Raw genomic sequence first — 25,799 nt, forward strand, 5'->3', positions numbered from 1 at the left:
CCAAGTAGCTGGGATTACAGGCATGTGCCACCACGCTTGGCTAATTTTTTTTTTAGTAGAGATAGGGTTTCTCCTTGTTGGTCAGGCTGGTCTCGAACTCCCAACCTCAGGTGATCCGCCCACCTCGGCCTCCCAATTTTTAGTTTCTAAAATTACTTTTGATCTCTAAAATTGTAATCAAACCTACTAATATAAAAACCCAATTGAGATTCACCAACGAACTAGTCGCAAAATGTTTTATTTGTAATAAACTTAAAATCGTCCCTTCTGTTCACACGCTGGTCCTTTTCTCTCCCACTTCTTGCAAGGCCTTCAGAGCTCCTCCCCAAAACTAAGGAGGTGCTAAAGGATGTGAGAAAATGACAATCCAGAACATTTCTGAGTGGGCTTAGGTGTTCACTGAGTAAAAACAGGATTTTGGGGGAGGCAGTATAGGCAAAATGATGTTTCTTAGATGTTAGCTTATTTTTAAAAATTGTTTTTTGTAACCTGATCCAATAGCTATTCCATCACGCTTTTTTTTTTCTTTTGACAGTAGAGATGGGCACGGGGGAGGGTCTTGCGATGCTGCCCAAGCTGGTCTTGAACTGCTGGCCTTGAGTGATCCTCCTGCCTTGGCCTCTCAAAGTGCTCGGATTACAGTGTAAGCCACGGAACCCAGCCCCATCATGCCTTTAAGTGTTCAATGCACAGAATAGATAGAGGCCAATAGTCCATTTCAATCAGATTTTAAAAAAAGTAATGCAAAAGATGGGAGAATTTATTGCTGACTGTTACTTATTATGCAATAATTTACTTTAAAATACTTCAAATATAAACTGTGTAATGGATGTGTGCTGTGTAATTTAACTTCAATCTTGTTCTGGGGGTAAGTTAGTATTTGAAGCACCTCAATCAGGTGGCTAGGAAGATGCTTTAAACACTTATCTAAATATACGCCAGAGTGTTCATCAGCATAAGGGATATTAGTAATTTTTCACTGATGAATGCAGCCTGAAAAGTAGGTGGTTGTCTAGACTTTTAGAGGCAAAATGCATGAAATGAGGTGTAAGAATCTGGCAGATCCTGCAAAATAATGACTTTTTATAGTATCTCAGGTCTAGAGATCTCCTTGCCCCTGTACCTTCCCCCTCCAGCACTCCACACACGTTTATGACTGTGGCCTGATCCAACCAAGCAATTAGGTTTCTTAATTCTGCTTTCAGAATATCACTGCTTCTGCTTCACTGTGAACTTTTTAGTCAAGGTGTTTGTGGGGTTACTTAGGAGCAGAGAAAGAACTTCTCCAAGCTTTCCAGAAGCCCTGCTTGCTAATAAACTTGTCATATAGATAACTGTTTTAGATTTGCTTTTATAGTAACACACCACGAGGTGGTGCGGTTATGTAGGAGGACACATATAGCCTTACTTTCCTGTAATAGCTAGAGGTACCACCAAATGGACCTGTGATTGGTGACTAAATTGGCCTAGATAGTTTGCAATGGTGTAGGAAGGAAACTAAAAGCCCATTCACTCTCATTTCATACTGAGGGCCATATTTGATTCCTGAGCGCTCCCCTTAATGTAGGGTGAATACTGAAGACCTCCTTAAGGTCTGCAAGTAAATATAGATTTTTCCAGTGCTGGCCAAAAAGCAAGCCAGCCATTGTAAAGGTCAGGGTCATTCTCTGGCAGCGCTGCTCTTTAACACAATATAATTAAGAATTTTGCACCACTTCTAATTAAAACTTGATTACTTAGAAGGCTTTCCGTTTGCTAATGATGACTAAAGTTTAAAAACACACATGAAAAAGAAAAACAGCCAAAATACACCTACTGCTCTAAATTTTAAATAAGGCTATCCTATATGCTTAATCAACAGGAGGCTAGGAAAATGTCACTGAGTTAAATGAAGGACAATCTGAAGACTCAAGAATCAATCTGAGTGAAGTTATAACATATGAGAAAGCTAAAAGTAAAACTATGTCAAACATTTTATTTGGTGTTTCATGCTATGTTGATTTAAACAAATTAAACAAGTTTGTTGAACAGATTTCTTTTCTAATATAATGACTATGTGTACATGGACAACTGAAAACAGGGAAAACCCCCAAATTAATGTTTTCACAAATTACAAGCCATTACTAAAGACCATATGCCTGGATTAAAAAAAATAGTCCAATAGATGAAGTCTCTCATTCAACCTAGCAGTTCAACCAATTTCTCTTTTAATAAAAGCTGCACATTACAGTGGTATAAATTTATCTTTTAAACACTCCACATAAAAACATGTGCACCCTCTCCTTCTACATTTAATCATTAGTAGTCTCTAAAATGGTAAAATAAAACTGAATTTATATTAGCAAATGAAAGTGCAAGTTTGTACAGCTAGGCTCAGCAGCAAAAGTGAAGAATAAGAATGAAAGGTGAAAAGCTGACAGATGCCACGCAGAGCAAGGACTTCCATGAAGGTCCGTGTCCTGTGTGCCAAACACAGTCAACATTCCATCATTTTCTCATTGCTCTTAAACGAGCAAAACCAAATTCTTTTTCTATTTAAAGAAATATTAAATCTTTATTTTCCCCAACATAATTTGTGATCAGGTAAGGCAAAGATAAGTCCACCATCACTGGGGACAGCAGCAACATACAGACTTCAGAAATAGCCCTGAATCATCAGTAACATTCTATCGTGGTAACATCAGAAGGAATGCAGCTAACAAATTAAATTTGTAATGTTGTCACATTATTCTAATTTATTTGATTAGTTTATCTGGAAAAACTTTATAAATACATTATGTAAGAGGGCAGTAAATTATTTTCTTGCTTTGAAAAAATAATGTTTTTTCACATTTTAAAACATTTTAGTCTGCTTTTGCAAAAGGAGTTGCAAGAAAAATGTGACAGCTGGGTTTGCAGAATGTCCATGTACAAGCTGTATTTATAAGAACCTGGTAATCTGCCTATAATTTGCTTCTACAAATAGAGCTCTTTGCAATAATATTTTAAAAAAACAGGCTTAAACTCTTCTCCTATTCATTCTACTTGTAGAACAAAGAGGTACTTATTTTTCAAGTATTATAAAAGGTAAAAAATTTTTTTTGCCAATTTTACATGTTAAGCTTTTAAGACCAAAAAAATCATGCCTAGTCAGCCCATTTCTTTTATAACCAAATTCTCTTGTCTTTTAAAGAATGCAGAAAAATATTGATTGCTAAGAAGGAGCACACTGGAAAAAGCCATTTTAAAGTATTGAAGAATGAGACGTATTTCTTTTTTCCTATTGATGAAAATTATTAGAAAAGCTATCCAGTCTGTTGTCTTTAGCTAGTTTTAATAAATCTTTTCAAAATGATGGTCAAGAACTCTAGAAAACGGGTGGAGGGGATGCTCCTTTATAGCAGGAAAGGAATTCCATTAATTGTAGAAATTCTCATTAAATTTCAGCTTTGGTTCTTCAGAAGAAACACTCATATAACTTCTACATGAAGAGACAGAAAAAGAACAAGATTAATATGACATTTATCTAAAATCTTATTTCAAGAATACCATAGTAATACCTTAAATTTCTAAAACTTACTATACTGTTATATACACTTATATAAGAATAGGCAATTCTGTTAGGATTCACAGTCTTATATTTAAGTGAATTCTGTTACTCATAGGAAACATATGTTCTTTTCTTTACATCAGCTTAGGCCACAGCCTTCATTTTTCCAAGTGGCATACACAGATTGTACTTTTCTCGGTTAGGGGTTTAAACATTCATTTCTCTTGTATCCTCAGTATCTGATGCTTAGGGTTCTAAACATATGTTGGAGGTTAAATAAATGTTGATAAATCATCTGGAAGTTCTTTCCCTTCCTGTAAATCTGTAACATGAGTAGGAAGCTGCACTGGGCATGTTTCCATCAACATACCATTAGTCGGATTGTTCCCAAAGGCTTAAGAATCAGAAAGTCAGACAGGGGAGGGCCCTTACAACCTCCCTTCAAATCCTAGAAAAGTGGAGTTCACTAAAGTGAGGTTCCACTTCCAAGGTCAGTACACTAGAGGAGAAAAGAAGAGTAGCTTCATTTGGATGGGTGGCTCACATTGGTTATCACACCGAATTAAAAGTTGATTTATTACAGATTCACTGATTGAATCTAGAAGGCAAAACAATTTGCCCACAAATAATTCTGTATTGTCTCCATTTAGTTATCCTGAATTTGGCCAGTTCTTTTTGTAGAAATATAAAGAGATGCTGGTCAATACATGACAGTCATCTTCAGGGAAGAGAAGTCAACAAAATTGAAACAGGTTTGAAGAGACAGGGAGCACAGATTATCTTGCTAATTCCTGAGACTGATGGGATTGCGTTGCTGAGCTGCTATGACCACTGAGTTAGTAATATTTGATATTATGTCTTCTTTCTTTGGGTCCTGATTGTTCTTTTTGCACAAAGACTTCAGGTCAAGTGTGGGTCAAAGAGACATTGTATAAGAAAGTCACAGGCAGTTTCAACAGCAACAAAATCATTTAACAAGTTAAGATCTTTAGACTCAGTGTGAGTACTGGTTTCATCACCTAAATCGTAACTATCCATCATGTCACATTTTGAAAGGACAATAATTTATTACCCAGGTTGCCAAACCCAAATAAGAGAAAAATGGTGGGAGAACATGATGGCAGTCTTCAAATACATGAAGACCTCAGAAAGATGGAAAAAACTCAGATCTTTCTCTAGTGGGCAGCACTAGGCCGGATGGTCCAAAATTATGGGGAGACAGCCCTGTCTTTCTACAAAGCATATTCTGAGCATGCATGATGTCGGGTAATGGGTGCTGCTCTGTGCAGAGAGGCTGACAGACACCCACTGGGTGCTGCGGACTGGACTTCTGCACTGACTGAGAGAATAGGAGAGGCCTTAGAAGTTGTCCAATCCAACTCAAAATTCAATTTCTATGAGCCAGGCACAATCTCTTCCACTGTGGCTTACTTGGTCCTTTGAAGAACAAAGTGTTACCACAATCATACTGTAGAAGGCAGCAGTTCGTGTCCTCCTGGGTGTCAGATATTTCTGATGACTACAGAAGGGAGTTGGAGGCAAGCTTACCTGCAGTCTGCTGTGTCTGAACACCATCTACCTGAGGCAGGGGCCCAAGTGTCCCTTCATCATCAAAGGCCAAAATTGGATTCAAAGGAATTTCTGGGCTCTCACTGTTGGTGACATCTAATCTGGATGGTTTAGATCCAATGGGTAAGTTTATAATTTCTTCAAAATTTTCATTCTGAACAGATACACCATTTTCATTTGGTTGTTTTTCCAAATCGGGAGTGCTAAGGAATTTGAAAAATAAAAATAGAAATAAGTTAGTCTTAAAACTGGAAAACACATTATTAGGAAAACCAAAATGTTTTATAATGAATAATTTTATAAATCTACAATTAAAAAAATCAGACTGGTGAGTCACATCATTACTAACAAAAATAATAAATTGTGGTGTATTTGTACCTTAAATTCTTATTTTAAAAAATCTAGGTCAGGCACAGTGGCTCATGCCTGTAATCCTAGCGCTTTGGGAGGCCGAGATGGGAGGACTGCTCAAGGCCAGGAGTTCAAGACTAGCCTGGTAAACATAGCAAGACCCCCGTCTCTACAAAAGAAAAAAATTAGCTGTGTGTGGTGGCACGCACCAGTAGTCCAAGCTACTCTGGCAGTCGAGGTGGGAGGATCACTTGAGCTCAGGAGTTTGAGGCTTCAGTGAGCTATGATGGCACCACTGCATTCCAGCCTGGGCTATGGAGTAAGACCCTGTCTCTAAACAACAACAAAAAAATTTTAAATCTGTCATTTTGTTATGAAAATTATCAAATAGAACAATTTATCAATTACAACAGATCATCATTAATAGAAATAAATCATCATCAGCAGCAGTTCTACACATTTAATGATTTCTGCTGCAGGCATTTTTATATTCATCTGATAGAGTACCACTTATGAGGACCTTTGCCTCAAAGATGAGGGGATTATAATTTGGAGGGGGGAGTAAATGATTTGCACAAAGTCACACAACTACTGAGAGATAGTTGAGGCTAAATGCACGATCTCTTAATCTCTGGTCCTGTGTTTTTCTCATTAAGCCATTTCGCACACTTTCTAGATATTCCAGCCTCCTAAAGCCCTTGCATAATTTCATATGTAAATTTTTGAAGACCGATCTTCTTATCTTTGCCCCTTAAATCTGCCTCTGACCTCATCTTGATCCTTATGAATTCATGCTTAATATCTTGGATTTATTTTTGAGATATACTTAATTGGCCCCAAATACTTAATCTTCTATGGTTTGTCTTAGATTACCACTCTCTGTTATAGGCTTATTATTATGCTTTACAATGTAGCCAAATAATGCCTATGCATCAAATGAGTGCTAAACTAATTTTACCATTCATTTTATTTCATTGCAGCATATACATATGTGTGCAAGCTTCAAAACTTGTTCAATGCTCAACAAATTAACCTTAGTCTCAGTAATACCAACTGCTTGAACATTGTTAGCAAGTCAGTTTGTCTTCTCAAATTGTAAAACAATGCTAATGTAAATCCAACCTTTCTATTGCTTTTTAACACTTTGCTTTTTTTTTGCCTGATTGAATAAATAGTTTACTTTCTTTTTCCTTTTTTGAGAAGGGTCTCACTCTGTTGCCCAGGCTGGAGTGCAGTGGTACAGTCTCAGCTCACTCCAACTTCTGCCTCCTGGGTTAAAGTGGTTCCTGAGTCTCAGCCTCCCAAATAGCTGGGACTACAGGGGCAAGCCACCATGCCTAGCTAATTTTTGTATTTTTAGTAGAGAAAGGGTTTCTTCGTGTTGGCCAGGATGGTCTCGAACTCCTGGCCTCGAGTGATCTGCCCCCATCGGCCTCCCAAAGTGCTGGGATTACAGCCATGAGCCACCACGCCCAGTCAAAATAGTTTACTTTCTCTACTGAGTGAGAAGTATTGACTTTGGAACACATACTAAAGCATTTCTGATTTGAATATTTGTGTATTTTTAAAATTATTAAACCTTCCTTTTTTACGGAAAAAATGAAGATGCCTGTCCTAAGTGTCTCACAAGGCATTGCAGAATACACTGAAAACATTATTTGTAAAATAATCTGAAATATTATACAGTGTGATGATGCTTTTCTGCTATTTTACTAAGAAGGGAAGGGAATGCCACTAGGCATTATAAGTCTCCACAAGAGTACAGTCACACACATGTGCACATGCCCCCCCCCCCAAGTCACGTGTGCACACACATGCCTAACATCTACTGTTCTAAGTGCCTGGGCTGCCACACCCATCTTCCTGTTCTTGCCTAACACCAACAGCCTTTCTGTAACTAGGGAAACAATTTTGGTTCTTAATACAGAGAGAATTTAAGTAGAAGTCCTGGCAAAGGATAAAGAACAGGAACGTATCTCCAGAGCCCCCTTTCCTTGGCAACCTTAACCTGTCACCTTCCAGGCCTGCATGTACTAACAAGTCATAATGGCAATGGCTAACCCCAGACTTGAGCCAGTATCAGATTTCATTTCCCCTCCACCTGCCCATTCTACCTGCTGGCAATCAGAGGGATAATTGTGCCATATGCATTGGATGACAAGTCATGAAATGTTCAGGGGACATCGGGACTGGTAGAAACTATAAAACTGAAACTGAAGTACTGGGGTTAAGGAGTATGGATCCGTGTGTCCACTCAGAATAAGAGCACCAGCTTCTGAATTCCCTGCCTTCAGTTACCTTCTGAAGTTTGAAGACTGATGTAAGACTTTTGAAGACCGCACGCTTTGCTCCAGTCCAAAATGTGTACAGGCAGGGGTTGGGACCTTGGCAAGAATCTGCAGTCCACACAGCTTATGGAAGCCAGAACCTTATTTTCTCTTGATATTTATTAATTATGTTAAAACAAGTAACTTTTAAATTAAAAGGGATACATCTCTTCCTGTGTGAACAATAGGGGCCTGGGAATGTTACTTTTCCTTCAGGCCAAACTAAGAGCAATGATGAACTCAAGATTTGGAGGGAAAATGAATGGGTCAAACACCAAAATTACCAAAAACTTCTTATTTAAAAAAAAAGACGAACATTCTACGAAAAGACAGCTCCCCTACGGCAATGAACAAACATGAAATGTCTTCTGGAGTATTAGGAGGGTAAGGCAGTATCTGTATAGGCAGCAGAGCTTCTTAGCCTCTGGACTAGAGATTCTCAGCTAGGGGTAGAAGAACATCTCAGAATGACCTGAGAAACTGCAGATAACTTCCTCTGTTCCCATTCTGATATTCACCCCTGTCCTCCCCGACTTGTATTCATATGGATCCGTATCCTTTGTTTCCTGTTCCAAAGCAAGTTTCCTATCCATGGACAAATATTTTCCTCAATTCCTGTGGAACATCCCTCCACAAGTACTCTCTCTTAAGAACCAAACATGGCTTTTGAGTAAGAATGATCAGCTCAAGGGCATATATAATATTCATATATTTCATAAAGATATATTTCAAGTATTTTATAAACGTCGTATATCTTACATAGGAAAATGTATATATTCATTTATAAAATTTTATAAAATCCATATATGTTATTAATATATATTCATATATTTCTTTGAGACAGGGTCTCACTCTGTTGCCCAAGCTGGAGTGCAGTGGTGCAATCACGGCTTACTGCAGCTTCAATTCCCTGGGCTCAGGCGATCCTCCCGCCTCAGCCTCCCGCGTATCTGGGACTACAGATGCATGCCACTGCCCTCGGCTGATCTTTGTATTTTTTGTAGAGACGGGATCTTGCCATGTTGCTAGCTGGTCTTGAACTCCTGGGCTCAAGTGATCTGCTTGCCTAGACCTGCTAAAGTGCTGGGATTACAGGCGTGAGCCACCACACTTGGCATATTCACATATTTCTGTATACCTTTAAAATCTGGCCAGAATTGTGATAACTCAAACCCTCTTCCATTCTAACTAATGTCAGTGGGGAACCTGTCAGGGGGAAAAGAGATGGGCAAGAAAAATGGCTTTGGGGCAAAGGGGCCAGGCGTCTCACTCAGGAGTAAGGTGAGGAGTAGGGTTCAGGATACTTCTGGTACAGAGTTGTTCTATAACAAAGGGTCTCAGTCCTAGCTGCTAGGAAAAGTAATGTTAGGGGGTCGCCATCCTCCTGGGGTGCTGCTAGACAGTTTGCTGAAATATCTCAAGGTGGGGAGGAGCAAATGTAATTTAGTTCACAGCATTCATTTATTTACGAATATATTAGGTACTAAAGACATTAGGAAAAGTGATACTTCTCTCTCAATTTGAATGAAAAGATAGTCATTCTGAGCAGTGGAGTTTTCTAGCAAAAATAAATTCTACCACTATACTTGCATGATCTGTCATGATGGATTTTCATGGAGTATCAGGCACACCATGTTCTTTGGCAGGGACCCCGAGCATTTCCATTAATCAGTGATTTAATTCACAGTGGGCAAGCTGGAGGGATCTATAACTCTACTTGAGGTGCAAAGTAGGGTATTTAATAAAGATACTGACTGATCACAAGGATCATGGAATGCCTCACTAAAAATAATGCACTGAGATGAAAACCAAAGATTTTATAAGCATTTTAAGGTTGATTTGAAACTAGGAGTGAAAGGAAATATTTATGGATGTGATTTGTCATTTAAAGTTTTTAACAGAATTTCAGATGTAAAACTGTTTAAAAACCTGAGTTTCCACTGCATCAAAGGGAATGTTTATTCATGAATGGGAAGCTGTTTTGGGGATGGATTTTAAAGACAAGAATAGGCTGGGCGTGGTGACTCACGCCTGTAATCCCAACACTTCAGGAGGCCAAGGTGGGATGACTGCTTAAGGCCAGAGGCCAAGAGTTTGAGACTAGCCTGGGCAACACAGGGAGACCTAATCTCTATAAAAATATATATGTTTTAAATTAGCTGGGTGTGGTGGCTCGCACCTGTAGTCCCAGCTACTCAGGAGGCTGGGGTGGGAGGATCATTTGAGCCAGGAGGTAGAGGCTGCAGTGAGCCATGCTCGTACCACTGCACTCCAGGCTTGGTGACAGAGCAAGACTCTGTTTTATAAAATAAAAATAAAACAAAATAAAGACAGGAATAAGCAAGCCCTTCTCTAGATGGAAGAGTTTAAGTGGCAGAGAGCCCCAGGGATCAGTGCTAGGTTTAGTTTTATAATAATCGGAAGACAAGCAGGATAAAATTTAAGTATGCAGATAATGTTTATTCTTGGAAATGCAAGTCATAAAAATAGCCCCTCGAGAAAACAGGGAAAATCATGAAATGAGTGACAAGGCAGGCAGTCTGTAAAAGCAGTGGGTTTAGAAAACTGTCAGCTGAGCTATCCTTAAAAGACAGTGAATGATCAGTCACAATGGAGGTTAAGACATCTTGGGATCACTGCAAACTGTTCCTTGGTGATACTGACTCCTTGTGTTTTGATGGTAAAAAAAAAAAAAAAAACGAAAAAACAAAAAAAAGCCAATAAAATGCTAGGCAGGAGAAGATGGGATACCAGGAACAAACCAAAAGCATTATTTTACATCACACTGCAGCTACACCTAGTGTACTGTGTGTTTTCTGGACACTGCATTCATTTTAGGAGGATAAAGATAATGATATGTAACATTCATATAGTACAACAGTTTTTGGAACTCCTTCACAGATAGCATTTCACTGAACCTCCCAATACTTTGTGTGGAAAGTATCTCCATGTCCAGATGAGAAAACTAAGGTTTAATTAAGTAGGTTAACCCCACAGTTGCTGAACTTCTCAAAGGTAAAACTAGGGATCCAGCCTGGAACTTTTGGTTCTGAAGCTCTTTTTCCTCAACCCCATATTCATGCTGAAGAATCTCTGAAGAAATATGAATAAAATATTCAAACAGCTGAAGGAGTCTTTTAGAGATAAGGTAAATATGTCAGTTATTGATTTACTGCCTCTCAGCTCCAAATTCACCCATCATTCCTGTTCTGTGAAACTGGATCCAGACCTGTTAAATAATTATCCTTTGCCACTGCTGGAGAGACACTGCAGCAGAGTTTTGCTTTCTGGTCGGTGTGTGCTTGCTCAGCAGGCTTCTTTAGCATACACGTGCTTTTCCCAGTGCCTGGCTCCTGCAGTGCACAGTGGCCAGCAGCCTCCCCCCAGCACCCCCACTGGGGCAGATTCATGGTAGAGTGCTTCTGGGGAGACAGTGAACAGCTTTCCTAGGCACTCTAGAGGGTGGATCTCTGGCAAGTTCTGCTGGCAAGAAAACATAGCAACTTCTCTGGCATCCAATACAAACAGTTATATCCTCTCTAACAAGGTCTGGATTACAGACCTGCAGGGTAAGGGATCTTTCTTCTTGGGTGCAACACTAGGGTATGTGACTGCTCCTTGTATCTGCTATTCGTATTTTTTTTTTTTTTTTTAACAGGGTCCCACTCTGTTGCCCAGGGTGGAGTGCAGGGGCATGATCAAGGCTCACTGCAGCCTCGACCTCCTGAGCTCACGCCATCCTCCCACCTCAGTCTCCTGAGTAGATGGGACGATAGGTGTACGCCACTGGGCCTGGCTAACTTTTTGTATTTTTAGTAGAGATGGGGTTTTGCCATGTTACTCAGGCTGGTCTCCAACTGGGCTCAAGTGATCCACCTGCCTCAGCCTCTCAAAGGGCTGGGATCACAGGTGTGAGCCACCACACCAGGCCCCTAAATTCTTTAGAATTCTCTTTCTTTTTTCCTTTTTTCCCTATCATTCCCACAAGTGCTCTTTATTTCTTATAAGCCAAACCAAAATCATAGTTACTCCATCCTATTTACTCCAATCCGAATGATAGTTATTCTTTAAATTTTCTCCGGTTTAAATCTATGTTTTTTTCCTTCTGATTAGACCCCGACTGATACAGTAAACATAATAGGAGGATTCAGCTTATAAAATAAGTGTAGACAGGGAATAGAAATAAGACCCATAAAACTATGAAGGGTATGGAAACTACAAACAATGACATTCTCTAAAACCTAGTTTATGATAACTATGGGTCCTAACCTTGAAACTGCAAAGAGCAGCTATAAGATAAATAAAAGTACTTCTTTATGCCCTTCTTTTCTTGTACTTGTTGCTATAAGAGGTAATACAAGGCAAAAATACAGATTGTTTCAAGATCGATCTGGATGAATTCAAGGATGACAAATTTCAAAATAATTAAGGGAAGCAGAATTTCTTAGGCTACATATCACAAACTGTGTGTCATATAATGGGGACCAAACTTAACATCACATTAAACATTTCCTACAGGTCAGTGTCATTCAGAAATGCACTGTTTCTCAAACTGGGGTCCTGTTCTTTACATGATTTTTAAAAATTTATGTTTTCACCCAGGTAACTTAAAAAAATAATGTACAGTCTGATCATCTGTCTGACTGATTATCACAAAGCTGAGTTTTGCTACATAATTTCAGTGCTCCATTTTCAGGTGTATTTCAAAGCATACTGATATCAGGTAGCACCAGCTTATTTGACAAGGGCTAATGACATGAACCAGCTGAACTGCTAAATAAATATGCTAGTGCCATGTAAAAGCCAAGTATCATCATGGCACTCTGTATTAAAAAGAGGTTAGGGGTTTTAAAGCAGTTCAAACAGAGAGAAGCAGTGAGTGAAATGAATCATGGTTATCCCTAATGCAAAAGGGATCAATCAGTACCATATGTATATTACCCACTTAATTTCAGAAAAACATCATTCTTCACAATAATTTCACTGTTCTTGATTTTACAGCTTTATTTATTTTTTTGAGACAGGGTCTCGCTCTGTCACTCAGGTTGGAGTGCAGAGTTCTGATCAAGGCTCACTGCAGCTTTGACCTCCTGGGCTCTAGTGATCTTCCCACCTCAGCCCCCCAAGTAGCTGGGACTACAGTTGTGTGCCACCATGCCTGGCTAATTTTTGTATTTTTTTAGAAAAGGGGTTTCACCATGTTCCCCAGGCTAGTCTTAAACTCCTGAACTCAAGTGATCTTCCCACCTTGGCCTCCCAGAGTGCTGGGATTACAGGCGTAAGCCACCATGCCCGGCTGGTATTTAGTATTTGAGGGGCAAAAGCATTTAGGTGGCTACTGCAAACATCCAGGGACTTGGTCAGTGGGGGTGCCCTAGAAATGGAAATCAAGGGATAGAAGGGTAACACTGTGGGGGAAGGTTGAAAGTAGTTTTATTATTTATGTAAATTTGTGATCTGCTGTTTTGGCTTTATAAATGAACAAGGGCTATAGAAATTTTAAACCTAAATTTATATTTGTAAAAATAATACAAGTAACTCTGGGAATCTACTATATATATATATATATTATATATATAAAATATATACATCTACTATATATAAAAATATGTATCTACTATATATAAAAATATATATATCTACTATATATAAATTTCCTTTATATAAATTCTTTTAAATTCCTATAAATATATATAAATTTCCTTTAAAGGAAATATATATCTACTATATATAAAAATAAATTTCCTTTATATAAATTCCTTTAAATTCCTATAAATATATATTTCCTTTAAAGGAAATATATATATAGTAGATATATATAAAAATATATATAGTAGATATATATATATAGTAGATATATATAAAAATATATATAGTAGATATATATATATAGTAGATATATATAAAAATATATATAGTAGATATATATACATATATATATTTCCTTTAAAGGAGAGACACTGGAGTAGATGGCCAATGGATTTCATATTAGGCTTATTCTTATATTCTGATGTTTATGTCTGATGCTCATCTGGACCTGCCTGTATTGTCAGGTGAAAGTAGAAAAAGGCTATGCTTATGTTTCTTCTAATGGTTTGACAGGGATTATCTTACATATATGACAAAGGATAATTTATTTGTTGGGTAAAGATGGATGACACCAGTAAGTTCATTTTGGTTTCATTACAAATTGTTGCTTTTCTGTGTGTGGAAAAGGCTAAAATATAACAGAATTTTATTATCTGTATCAAATATAGTAAAATTATTTTTCAGGTTCTTATATAATGATTAATTGCTTGGTGATATTACTACTGAAGAGAGTCAAATTATGCATAAATTAACTTTATAGATCAGATAACATAATCAGTGGCTTAAGAAGCTATGGTAGGCTGGGTGTGATGGCTCATGCCTGTAATCCCAGCACTTTGGGAGGCCAAGATGGGTGGATCACTTGAGGTCAGCAGGTCAAGACCAGCCTGGTTAATATGATGAAACCCATCTCTACTAAAAATACAAAAATTAGCTGGGTGTGTCTCCTTGAACCCAGGAGGTGGAGGTTGCAGTGAGCCAAGATAACACCACTGCATCCAGCTTGGGCAACAGAGTGAGAGTCTGTCTCAAAAAAAATAATAATAAAAGAAACTATGGTAGGCATTGTCTGTTCCCCATAATAATGGGATTCTCTCTGTGGTATCTTTTATTCTTTTTTTTTTAAAAAAGAAATCTCTGAAGTCAATGAATTGAACATAATAAGTTTTAGGGAATGAATTTAAAAAATCTAATTAAAACTAAGAAAAAAATACCATTTAATATAGATCTTAGGTAATTACAACAATAAAGTTATTCAACATAATTGGAAATGAATTATTAAGATCTCTCAGGGTATTCTCTTTGGTATTATAGTAGGCAAAAAATAAATAAATAAAAATTCCACAGTCTCAGAAAGATATCAACACAATAGTAGGGACTTACCTTTTAACTGCTGCCCATTACATTATAAAATGTTACATTACATTATAAAATTACATTATAAAATTACATTATAAAATGTAGTGTCTGTGTGTCTGTACTTATCCTGGCCAAAAGCCGAGAAACAATTATGTGTTTTTAGATTAAGAAAATAATTTGAGGACTTTCAGATGTCTGTTGGTAGCAAAGACTGGCATTAAAGACAGGAAGACTCATACATTAAGTAGATTTCCCAAATTTAAAAAGTCATAGCTAAATTTTTTTGAACATTATTAAAAATATTTCTGCAAGTTCTCTATGATTGGATTTTTAGGCACAGGCTATGATTACCCTTATTTTTCGTTTTTGAAAATGTTCATATGATGCTGTTGATATAATTACAAGAAAAGAGAAAGGCAATCTTTCTGAAATCCAGACTGTTTTCTAGGCTGTTGTTAGCAACTGTCTGGTTCTTCAATAAGAAGCCCTGTTATTAATAATATAAGAAATACTGACATCTACATGACTTTTATATGGAACAAACATGTAAGTCACTGTAATATTATGCATGGCTAAAATGCAATTGTTATATACCATTAAAGAATGTGGATATGGTCCATATCAGGCTAAATATACACAAAGAAAACTAACAGATTATCACTTGTTTTTTGTTTTGTTTTTTGAGACAGGGTCTCACTCTGTCACCCAGGCTGGACTGCAGTGGCAGGAGTTTGGCTCACTGCATCCTTGACCTCCTGGGCTCATGCAATCTTCCTACCTCAGCCTCCCAAGGTGGGACTACAAGCACACACTATCACGTCTGCTAGTTTTGCTATTTTTTTTTGTAGAGATGGTGCTTTGCTATGTTGCCCAGGCTGGTCTAGAACTCTCAGCCTTAAGTAATCCTCCCTCCTCAGCCTCCCAAAGTGTTGGGATTACAGGAGTGAGCCCTGCACTTGGCCACTTGTAATATTCTTGGAACAGTCACACTAAATCCTCACCATTACATTTAATGACTTGAGAAAAAAGATATTTCCACTTTCTTGGAGTACAGAATTACTAGCTCAACCAAAAATCAATGAGGCCCCCCCCAAATAATAAATCCTAATGTTAAGACTTTGAAATTCTGGTGGAGCTGGTGGGTAAAAACAGTAATGTTTTACTTTAATGAATGTCAGTGAAAACTCACCTCTCCACTGTCACTTTTGACTGGTGTGAGGTAACCACATGTGGGCTGCCAACTGGCTTTCCATTTCCCGGAGCGTTTGTTGTACATGGAAGTGCAGACACCTCTGGGCATAGTAAAGGAGACAGAACACAGGGTTACTAATATTCTTTTCTTAGACCTAACCTCCAAGAGCCAGAATGCCTTGATTTATGTGCTGGTTCTGCTACTTAAGTGATGTGAGACCTTGGGCACATCACCTAAACTCTCTGTGCCTTAGTTTCCTCATTAGTAATAGTACCTACTTCATAGATTGTTAGAATTAAATGTATTAATATTAATACATGTAAAGGACTTAGAACAGTGTTTGGCATGTTGGAAGGGCAAAGTATTATTATTTTTCCTTGCACTAAAGTTACATGAAGTATATAATATTGAAACCAAAGCAACTGATAAAGATAGCAGTAAGCTGACTTGATCAAGCTGACACTGAATATCTTTACAAAGGATTCAGAGCAAATCACCAAGGAACACCATAAGTATTAAAAATATTTTTGAAAACTCAGTTTAGTCCTATGCACACTTAGAACAATGAGGATTTCACGAATGGAAAGCAGTGTACTGTACCTCACCATTCCACCTCATTATTCAAAGCTCAATGTTGCAGCCCACTTTAAGCTGACAATATTGATGACTGCCTCTAAAATACAGGACAGGGTTACTTATAAACCTTTATATAGGCCAGAGTTTCAGATATATCTGTGGTAGATTATGGTTTCAGCTTGATGTGAGAGAATAACTGAAATAATTCCTACCCCTCACCCCCTTGCCCCCTGCTTTTTTTTGAGACAGGGTCTCATTCTGTCACCCAGGCTGCAGTGCAGTGGTGTGATCACGGCTCACTACAGCCTCGACCTCCTGGGCTTAGGCAATCCTCCTGCTTCAGCCTCTCAAGTAGCTGGAACCACAAGTACATGCCAACATGCCCAGCTAATTAAAAAAAAATTATTTGTAGAGACAGGGTCTTGCTATGTTGCCCAGTCTTGAACTCCTGAGCTCAAGTGATCCTCCTGCCTCAGCCTCCCAAAGTGTTGGGATTATAGGCATGAGCTACCTCACCTGGTCTGAAATAATTTCAAGACAATGTTATTTTACAACCTGGCACAAATTCAATAAAGCTGCCAGAGGTACAAGAGATCTGATAACTAAGGCAGAAAGGTAAGTGATAATTTCAAATCTGCCCAAATTTGCAAAGCTGGTGACAGGCAGCCCCTGAGAAAACATATGATAGGTCTGTAAACTCGCCTGCCTGCATACCCACCTTAGAATTCTCTTTGTAGCACTGGTAACACCAGTCAGCCCGCAATCAGATGTGGGACTGGGAGAAGGGGAATATTTGTTAGGCACAGCTAATCCTCAAGCCTCCTTTTAGCAGTTTTAACTCAAATCAAATTTACATGAGTGTTGATAAACACAGCTATGCCAAACAGCAAGTTTCACCTTCCCTCTTGCCTTTGTTCATTCTTGGATTGATTTATAAAGAATACTGAAAGAACAGATAAGGAAAGGGCAGGAAGGGGGAAAATGCAAACAAACCAACAAGGAGACTGGACAGGCACAAACTACAGCATTAGCCCCTCAAATAATCTTGAGCTGGTGCAATTTACAGCTTAAATTGATCACTCTGACAACTCACTGGGTACTATGCCTACTTACAGCCTGTGTCTATTACAATATTCTTGAAGACAGTATGCTAAAAATGCAATGGGGTTATAATATACAACCATTAAGACTATTCTCCAAACATACACATACATACATTAGAGCATCTTTAAAAGAGCATGAAAACTCCACTATAAAGGAATTATGACATACAGAAACCAAAATAGCTTCTATGGAAATAAAACCAAGTCCCAAAATACCAATAATACTTTACATTTGAAAACCCTTAATGTTTATAGGCAATGTTCTGTCACATAAACCGTTGGATTTGATCTTTGAGCAAAAGGTATTCCAGCCTTTGCTTTTGTTTGTAAACAGAAAAAGAAAACTGCAGTACCTCTGGTCTTTTCTTTTCATATTGATATCACACATGAGGAAAGAGGAAGACAATGATGAGCTATCTACTAACCACCTGCATGTACAATCATGAAGACCACGAAGGATCACTGAAGGAGCAGAATCAGGAGCTGGGGGACCGGGGCCCCAGCTGCGTAAGCCTGGCCTGTCATTGGACCTGAGTGCCCCTGTGGGTAGAGGGACTTTGCCTATTTGTTCACACTGAATCCCAGCCCTATAACACGGCCTGGCACATAGAAGAGCTTCAAAAATGCTTGTTGACTCAAAGACAAAGCAAACCACTTCACAAGGCAGCAGTAGGAATTATGTATGAAAGATGTACCTGATACAAAAAGGGCACTTAATATTAATTTAATCTGAGTATTAAGGCTAATTTCACTTTTATTTTAAATACATTTGACTTATAATCTCCAAAAAAAAATCAATAATCTCTTTCCAAAGCCGATGGCATATCAGTAACTCTAATGAAATTTCAAGATCACTGTACATTATATGTATGGAAATATCACTCTGGACCCCAAGAATATGTACAACTATTATTTGTCAATTAAAAAAATAAGAATTTCAACAAATTTTTAACTTTATTTTGAAGTCAGATCTAAGATAAATAACATTTAAATCATTTTTCTGAGAACTTCTATAATACAAGTTGTCCAATGTGTAAATTTAAAGTCCTTTCTTAAGAGGAAATATAAATATACACTACTTGAGCAGACAGTATGTGATAAATGAAATTTAGTTTTATAAACTCAAAAGAAATTCTTCTAAAAGTATATGTATACACATATATGTATAAGTATATATACATATATGCATAAATACATATTACATAAGATGATTTAAAATATCAAGCAACCCATTAGAGTATAAACAAACGTGAAAAGTAACTGGTAGAAACACTAGACAGTTTTACATAAGAGGAAGGAAGGACTCGATGACAGACCCCTAAGCTTCTGTGAGTCTGTAAGCACTGGATCTTTTTTCCCTCCATCAATTCCTGAATATCTTCACCCCTGGAGAGTCAATTTAAACATTTTATATATAAATTGGTTTGAGTTCATTGACAGAAATACCTGTTCCTCCAGTGAGAGCTCCCTTGGCTATATCACCGTTTCTCTGATCACTGGTTTTCTACGAAGAAGAAAAAAAGAGGACTTTTAAAAATTAGAGTTACAAGTGAAAATGAAAAAGATAAAAGCATACAAAAGTAGTTAGAAAACGGCCATGTCAATACCTTATCTGTAGCTTCTGTTCTCCTGGTTCTTTTCATAATCTCCTCAAGTCGCTATAGGAAAGGAAGAATTGAGCAAGAAGATTAGACACAGAAAAAAAGCCAGCCTGGCATATTTAACTGATGAAATAGATTATTTAAAATGGTCTGTTATTTTGGAAAAATACAATATGCACTTTTTTTTTTTTTTTTGAGATGGAGTCTTGCCCTGTCACGCAGGCTGGAGTGCCGTGTGGCAAGCTCTCAGTTCACTGTAGCCTCTGCCTCCTGGGCGCAAGCTGCCTCAGTCTCCCAGGTAGCTGGGATTACAGGCGCCCGCCACCACGCCCAGCTAATTTTTACATTTTTAGTAAAGACAGGGTTTCACCATGTTGGCCAGGCTGGTCTCGAACTCCTGACTTCGGTGATCTACCTGCCGTGGCCTCCCAAAGTGCTGGGATTACAGGCATGAGCCACCCGGCCCAGCAGTGCTGCTTTGTCTTAACTGGGGTTATTCAAGAAAGTTGGAACTGCCTTAAGCTACATGAAGTGGAAGTAAGTGTTTTTTGGTGACGGCTAAAACACCGAGAGAGATTTCTTTGCAGGAGATTGTTATCACTGAGGGGGCTACTAGTTTATGTGGCAAGGGTAGAACACGCGTTTTCTGACGGCCAGGGCTAGTCTCTGGGTCTTAGAGGTGCAAGTTCGCGTCCCGGGCCTCTCTACTAAGACGCAGCTACCTTCTTTCTCTCCAGGCGCTCTTGCTCTTCTCTCTGGAAATGCTTCTCTCGTTCCTGCCGGACCCTCTCTGCTTCTTCACGAACGCGAGCTTCTTCTTCTTTCTGAAAACAGAAGGTCGGCGTCTGCCTCTGACAAACAGGCGGGCTGCCCGGGTCTCCCAGGGGGTGCCCAGAGGTGGGGGCGAGGTGGCGGATGGAGAAGGTGTGGAAAGCGGGAGCACCAGCAGTCCAGTCCGCACCCTCCTCTGCTGGGCTGGGGCGTCTCCCTGCGGGACTGGGGCCGGGGCCAGGGTGGGGTGCGGCCGCACCTGCCTCTGGGCGCGCTCTGCCTCCTCCCGCTCGCGCAGCGCCCGCTCCTCCGCCTGCCGCTGCAGCTGCTCCTCCTTCTCCCGGGCCTGCTCGGCTTCCAGCCTGCGCGACTCCTCCTCACGGCGAGTCGTCCTCTCTTCAGCCACACGTTGAGCCAATTCCTCTCTCTTTTGTCTGGAAAAAGACAGAACAAAACCAAAACCAAAGACACCTGAGGAGAAATCTTTGAAGAGAGGCCTCCGTCGGTGGTTCTGTAGGGCGGTTCCTTTAGGCGTCCAGTAGAAAAATCCCCACTGGATGCCTTCACCACTGCTAAGGGACAAAGCGCGAAGCCACCCTTAGACTTCCTCCCGCCTTGCCAGCTGCATTGCTGTCCGTGCTAAATAGAAGCAACGTGTAACCACCAATATCTTGGGGAGAGCTGGCTTTTTGGAAGGAATTTAACTATTTTTTAAAGGCTCTGACTTGTTTAATTCAAATAATGTGACTTCTTAGTAATGAATTTGAAGCACCCCAGCCAAAGGGAATCTTTGTAAATAAATAAGGGTCACAGTGTTCTGTCACAGGACAGGAGGAAGACAGCCATGTAAGCTCCCTGTTGGAGCCAAGGGAAAGGCATGGCCAAGATGGCGGTCCAGCGAGTGCATGAGATCCTTCCCCAGGGTACAGTTGTGTTCGTTTGAAGAACAATTATATTGACATTCGTCTTATTAGGCCCAGAAGATGACCAATTAAACAAACTGTTTCTGGAATACTGCCTGGCAGGCAATCATGGGGCATGTAAAGATCCCACCTGGCTACCCTCCGAGAGGAGTTTTATCTGGAAAGGAGAAAACATGAACCCTTATTATGCAGCCTTAATGTGATAATTACAAAGATAAAACGGAAACCTGGAGATTGGAGATGTGTTAAGTAAAAAAGCAGACTGTACAATTGTACCTCTGCTGTGGTTATAATTATGTAAATATGTATATGTATGTATATATACACACACACTCCCATACTGTTGAGAGACTAGAAAGGACCACCCAAAATGTACACTATTACTGAAAATTGGTATGATTATGGATTTTTTTTTTCTTTAAAGCTTTCTCCATCAATGTTGTTGCACTGTCATTAAAATAAGAAAACATGGCTGGGCATGGTGGCTCATGTCTGCAATCTCAACACTTTGGGAGGTTCAGGTGGGAGGATCCCTTGAGCCCAAGAGTTTGAGACCAGCCTGGGCAATATAGTGAGACCCCATTTCTATTTAAAAAAAAGAAGAAGATGTGATTTAAAAAACAAACTGCTTAGTAGTCATAGGAAAATTAGGTAAGAGTAATCCTGAAAGAACTAATCCATTCACTTTCATCAGTATTATCACCTCCTCCCTCTCAGAGGGGTGATGAGTTAATCCAAAGTATCACTGACACCATGGTGTGGAGCAATGTCTCCCATTTACCTTTCAAGCTCTTCCTGCTCCCTCCTCTCCCTTTCTTCCTTTTCTCTCTGCTCTCGGGCCAGCCGCCTCTTCTCAGCTAGAAGCCTTGTGGCCTCCTCTGGGTCGGTGGTGCCTGCAGAAGTCTTAACAGAAGCACTGGCATTCACAGTGGATGACGGGGCTGAGACCATGGCTGGGGTGGGGACCGGGGCTGGAGCTGGGGCCGAGGCTGGAGCTGGGGCCGAGGCTGGAGCTGGGGCCATGGCTGGAGCAGCTGCACAAATAGGTACAAGGAGAAAACCAGTTGGAAACAAAATCCAAAGAACAAAACCAAAACTAGCATTCCCCACATCCAAGGCCTAGAATTTACCATTATGAAAGAAAAGGGAATGTTTATTACTGTGTGTTCTCACGGTTTCACTATGTTCTATCTGTAACCAAGCAACAGATAAAAAAAATCAGTATGTGTAAGTAAGACATCCAACAAAGCTGACACTCTGTCACCAAGTCTTATTTTTATACCAGTTAAATCAGTTAACATATATTGAATGTGTACAAAGCCTCATGTTAGAGTCTGTGGGGAGTTATACACTGAGCAAAAAGAAGATGAGATCATCCATTTGTCTTTTATTGCATTTGAAAATTCCTACTCTTCGGTAACCATTCATTACTAGAGCAGCATCCTCAGCATCCATGCCATGAGTCCAGATTCAGCCTGGGAAGATGATACCCTATGAAGAGGACCCTTTTGTCTCCCCAGAGCTGTCTCTAGGTCTGAGATGGGAGGAGCTCGGGGCCTCTTTGGGAGCTGGTGCTCATTCTGCTTATATATCCCAAGCTGCCAAGATGCAAGATGGGAGCAGAAGTTCTCTGGCCTTACTCGGATTTAGGAAGATGACCTAGAGAGCTGGTGCCCCAGAAGCCCCACACTGATGCTCACAATTCTGCACCACAGTGAGCAAGGCACCAGCAAGTGCAAGCTCTGGCCCCTGGCTGCTCCAGCCCCTCCTTTTGAGAGTCACATTTCTACTTCTGCTTCCACAGACTTTTCTCGGCCATCATGATGCTCTAGCCCTTCTTTCCTTCCTTTTTCCATGGAAACAAATACTGGACTCCTCCTTTTTCTAACATTTTAACCTGTTTTGAATCATCTCTTCTTTCTTTGCCCCACCCTCTATCTTCAAATTAAGTCTTTTGAATGAAGACAATTCTCAACTAGAAATATTGAATTCACAGCTCCAGGTGGTTTTAAATTTCTAAATAGCATCTGGCTAGCCTGGCAGAGGTGAGAACCAGTGGGCCTTCTGGAAAAAAATTCTGACTTCTATCAAGCACACAGGCTATACCAGGGGTCCTTAAACTCCAGTATGCACAGGAATAGCATTGCCAGATTTAACTGGCCACCCTGTGTTCTATCTGGCAACCATGTTTAGGAATCAACTGACAAGCTTAGTATCTTTCAGAGTCCTCATATCCACCACTACATATTCTGACTTAGTAAGTCTGAGGTAAAAACCAAGGGTCTGTATGTCAAAACATTATAGATGTGGTGGTTTAAAAATATTTCCAGTTTTCCTCAGCTGCTGCCAAGCTGCACTCGGTCCCTCTGAGGAATGTAGGGCCACATTGAAGTGGAACCCTCACTTCATCTGGCAACTAGCACCTTGCCTGGCAGTGCCAGCCCCACACTTGCTCACACCATGGCCTCTGTTTCTGAGCTCGCCTGCATTCTGCATAAGGCTCGGCCCTCATTCTGCATGAGGGTGAGGTGACCGTCAAGGAGGATAAGATCAATGCCCTCATTAAAGCAGCTGGTGTAAATGTTGAACCTTTTTGGACTGGCTTGTTTGCAAAAGCCTTGGCCAATGTTGACATGGGGAGCCTCATCTGCAATGGAGGAGCTCGTGGACCTGCACCAGCAGAAGGTCCTGCCCCCTCCACCAATGCTGTTCCAGCTGAGGAGAAGAAATAGAAGCAAAGAAAAGAGAGTCTGAGGAGTCCAAGGAGGATATGGGCTTTGGTCTTTTTGACTAAACCTCTTTTGTAACAAGTTCAATAAAAAGCTGAACTCTTAAAAAAAATTCTTTGAAAACTCTCTCTTCAAAAGTTGGAGACTATGTTTCTCCTTGAGTGTGAGTTCCACCTAGTGACTTGCTTCTACTTAACAGAATGTGGCAGAAACATTGGTGTGCGACTTCTGAGACTGGGTCATAAAATACATTGTACATTCCTCCTCATTCTCTCTTCCAGGTCACTCACTCTGGCAGAAGCCAGCAGAGCAAGCAGATAGATGAGGACATTCAGCAATAATATGGAGCGGTCCATGTGTGGAGAAGCTGAGGCCACCCGCCCCCGGCCTTGTATGTAAGCCACCTTTCAGATCTGGTTGAGTCTTGAGATGACTGGAGCTCTAGTGGACAGCTTGACTGCAATCTCATGAGCGGTCCTGAGCAGGGACCACCCAGCTGTGCTGCTGCCAAATTCCTGACCCAAGAATCCATGTGATATGATAAATGTTTGTTGTTGTTTCATGCTGCTAATTCATTATGCAGCAATAGATAATGAATACAACAGGTGATTTTGATGCAGGTGCTCTGAACACATTTTGTGAAATGGACTCAGCCAATAAAAGCACTGAGAACCTACACCTGAATTCACGTGTTTGTGGCTCTATCAATAGGCTTTTGGATGTATGATTTGAGATTTACATTTCTACTTCTGCTTCCACAGATTTTTTTCATGGCTATTATGATGTTCTATGACCCTCCTTTCCTTTCTTTCTTTTTCCATGGAAGCAAACACTGGACTCCTCCTTTCTCTACCATTTTCACCTGTCTTGAATCATCTCCTCTTTCTTGCCCCACCCTCTATCTTCAAATTAAGTCTTAAGTAGAAAACTTTGGAATGAAGACAGTTTTCAACTAGAGATATTGAACTTCAAGCTCCAGGTGGTTTTACATTTCTAAGTAGCATCTGGTTACCCTGGCAGAGGTGAAAACCAGTGGGTCTTCTGGAAAAAATTCTGACTTCTATCAAGCACACAGGCTACGCCAGGGGTCCTTAAACTCCAGTATGCACAGGAATAGTGTTGCCAGGTAATTTTTTACTTAGCGTTGCTAAGTAAAAAACTATTTTTAAGCAATGCGAAGTTAAAATATTATACTTAAGGAAAGGTATTAAACTTAACCTTAGAGTAAAATTTCCAAGTCTCCAATAAAAGAAGAAAAGGAAAACAAAAAAAGCTTCATCAAAACAGTGCGGGAGAAAAAGAGAGAGCACCCAGACCACAGGTGAGTTTGCTCTTACCAGGGCCAACTTCTGGTTCAGCAGGTGTCCGCTCTTCAACTGTGGCTTCTTCTACCTTCACTAAAGGTGCTCTGCCCTTTAGTGAGGGCTCATTGGCAACTTTCTGAGGTTCCTTCTCAGGATCTTTCTTCTCAGGCTCCACTTTGACTTCCCTCTTGACAGGGCGGATGTTGCCGGGGGATGGGGGCCGGACCTGAGCAGGAGCAGCTTTGACTGAGCCGGGTGGCAAGGAGGATGTCGGTCTGGGTGTGCCAGGCAAATGAGGAAGAGACTTGGACGGAAGCCTGGGCCACAAACAAACAAGGCAGACAAAAGGGGACACATGAGAACAGGCTTGCCAGAACCTAGAACACGACTCGATGGAAGAGAATGCAGATATTTAGCTCCGTGTATTTGTTTTTTATGTGGTAGATACAGAAATAGAGTTGCTTTAGGGAACCATTCCAATTTCTCTTTTTTCTTTCCTTTTGGGAAGAATGCTATTCCCTAAGTCAAAGCCAAACAGCATGAGAAGAACAGTTCACTTTCAGAGGAGAGAGCTACTAATTCTCTAACATGAAACAACCCAGCCAGCCACTTATATTTCACTTACCAAAGTCGGGAGCGAGCTGGTTGTCTTGCTTTGGGATTAGATGGAGATACAGCCCTTCGGGTGCCAGATGTGAGGAAGAGTACATTTTCTCTCTCTCTTTCTTTTTTATAGCTCTAAGTTCAGAGAAACTCAATAGTTAGATTTTTCCACAAGCGAGGCAAACACACTCACAATACTCAACAGTGGAGCTAGAAACCATTGAATGACTTTTAAGAAATTTTCTTAGCTATGTCACATATACCCATTCCATC

The 25,799-nt window shown here is 40.0% G+C and overlaps 1 protein-coding gene and 1 pseudogene across 39 annotated transcripts in view; one reads left to right on the forward strand and one right to left on the reverse strand.

The window, feature by feature from the left end:
- Window positions 1–1,955: 1,955 nt before the first annotated feature.
- Window positions 1,956–25,799, reverse strand: part of MAP7 (microtubule associated protein 7) — a 207,689-nt gene continuing 183,845 nt past the window's right edge. For 37 of the 39 annotated variants that reach the window (NM_001388352.1, NM_001388347.1, NM_001198617.3 and 34 more), the window contains 10 exons: window positions 25,549–25,661; window positions 24,957–25,240; window positions 21,672–21,924; window positions 20,227–20,401; window positions 19,919–20,020; window positions 19,203–19,253; window positions 19,042–19,099; window positions 15,914–16,016; window positions 5,078–5,301; window positions 1,956–3,460 (listed from right to left, as the gene is read on the reverse strand). In NM_001388352.1, coding sequence (NP_001375281.1) covers window positions 3,450–3,460; window positions 5,078–5,301; window positions 15,914–16,016; window positions 19,042–19,099; window positions 19,203–19,253; window positions 19,919–20,020; window positions 20,227–20,401; window positions 21,672–21,924; window positions 24,957–25,240; window positions 25,549–25,661 — 1,374 coding nt within the window. In that variant the 3' untranslated portion in view covers window positions 1,956–3,449. Of the gene's footprint in view, window positions 3,461–5,077; window positions 5,302–15,913; window positions 16,017–19,041; window positions 19,100–19,202; window positions 19,254–19,918; window positions 20,021–20,157; window positions 20,402–21,671; window positions 21,925–24,956; window positions 25,241–25,548; window positions 25,662–25,799 lie in introns of all 39 variants that reach the window. The other 2 variants (NM_001388339.1, NM_001388353.1) reach the window with 2 other exon arrangements.
- Window positions 23,222–23,720, forward strand: RPLP1P8 (ribosomal protein lateral stalk subunit P1 pseudogene 8; annotated as a pseudogene).

Source organism: Homo sapiens, chromosome 6 (assembly GCF_000001405.40).
Source record: "Homo sapiens chromosome 6, GRCh38.p14 Primary Assembly".
Lineage (NCBI taxonomy): Eukaryota > Metazoa > Chordata > Mammalia > Primates > Hominidae > Homo > Homo sapiens.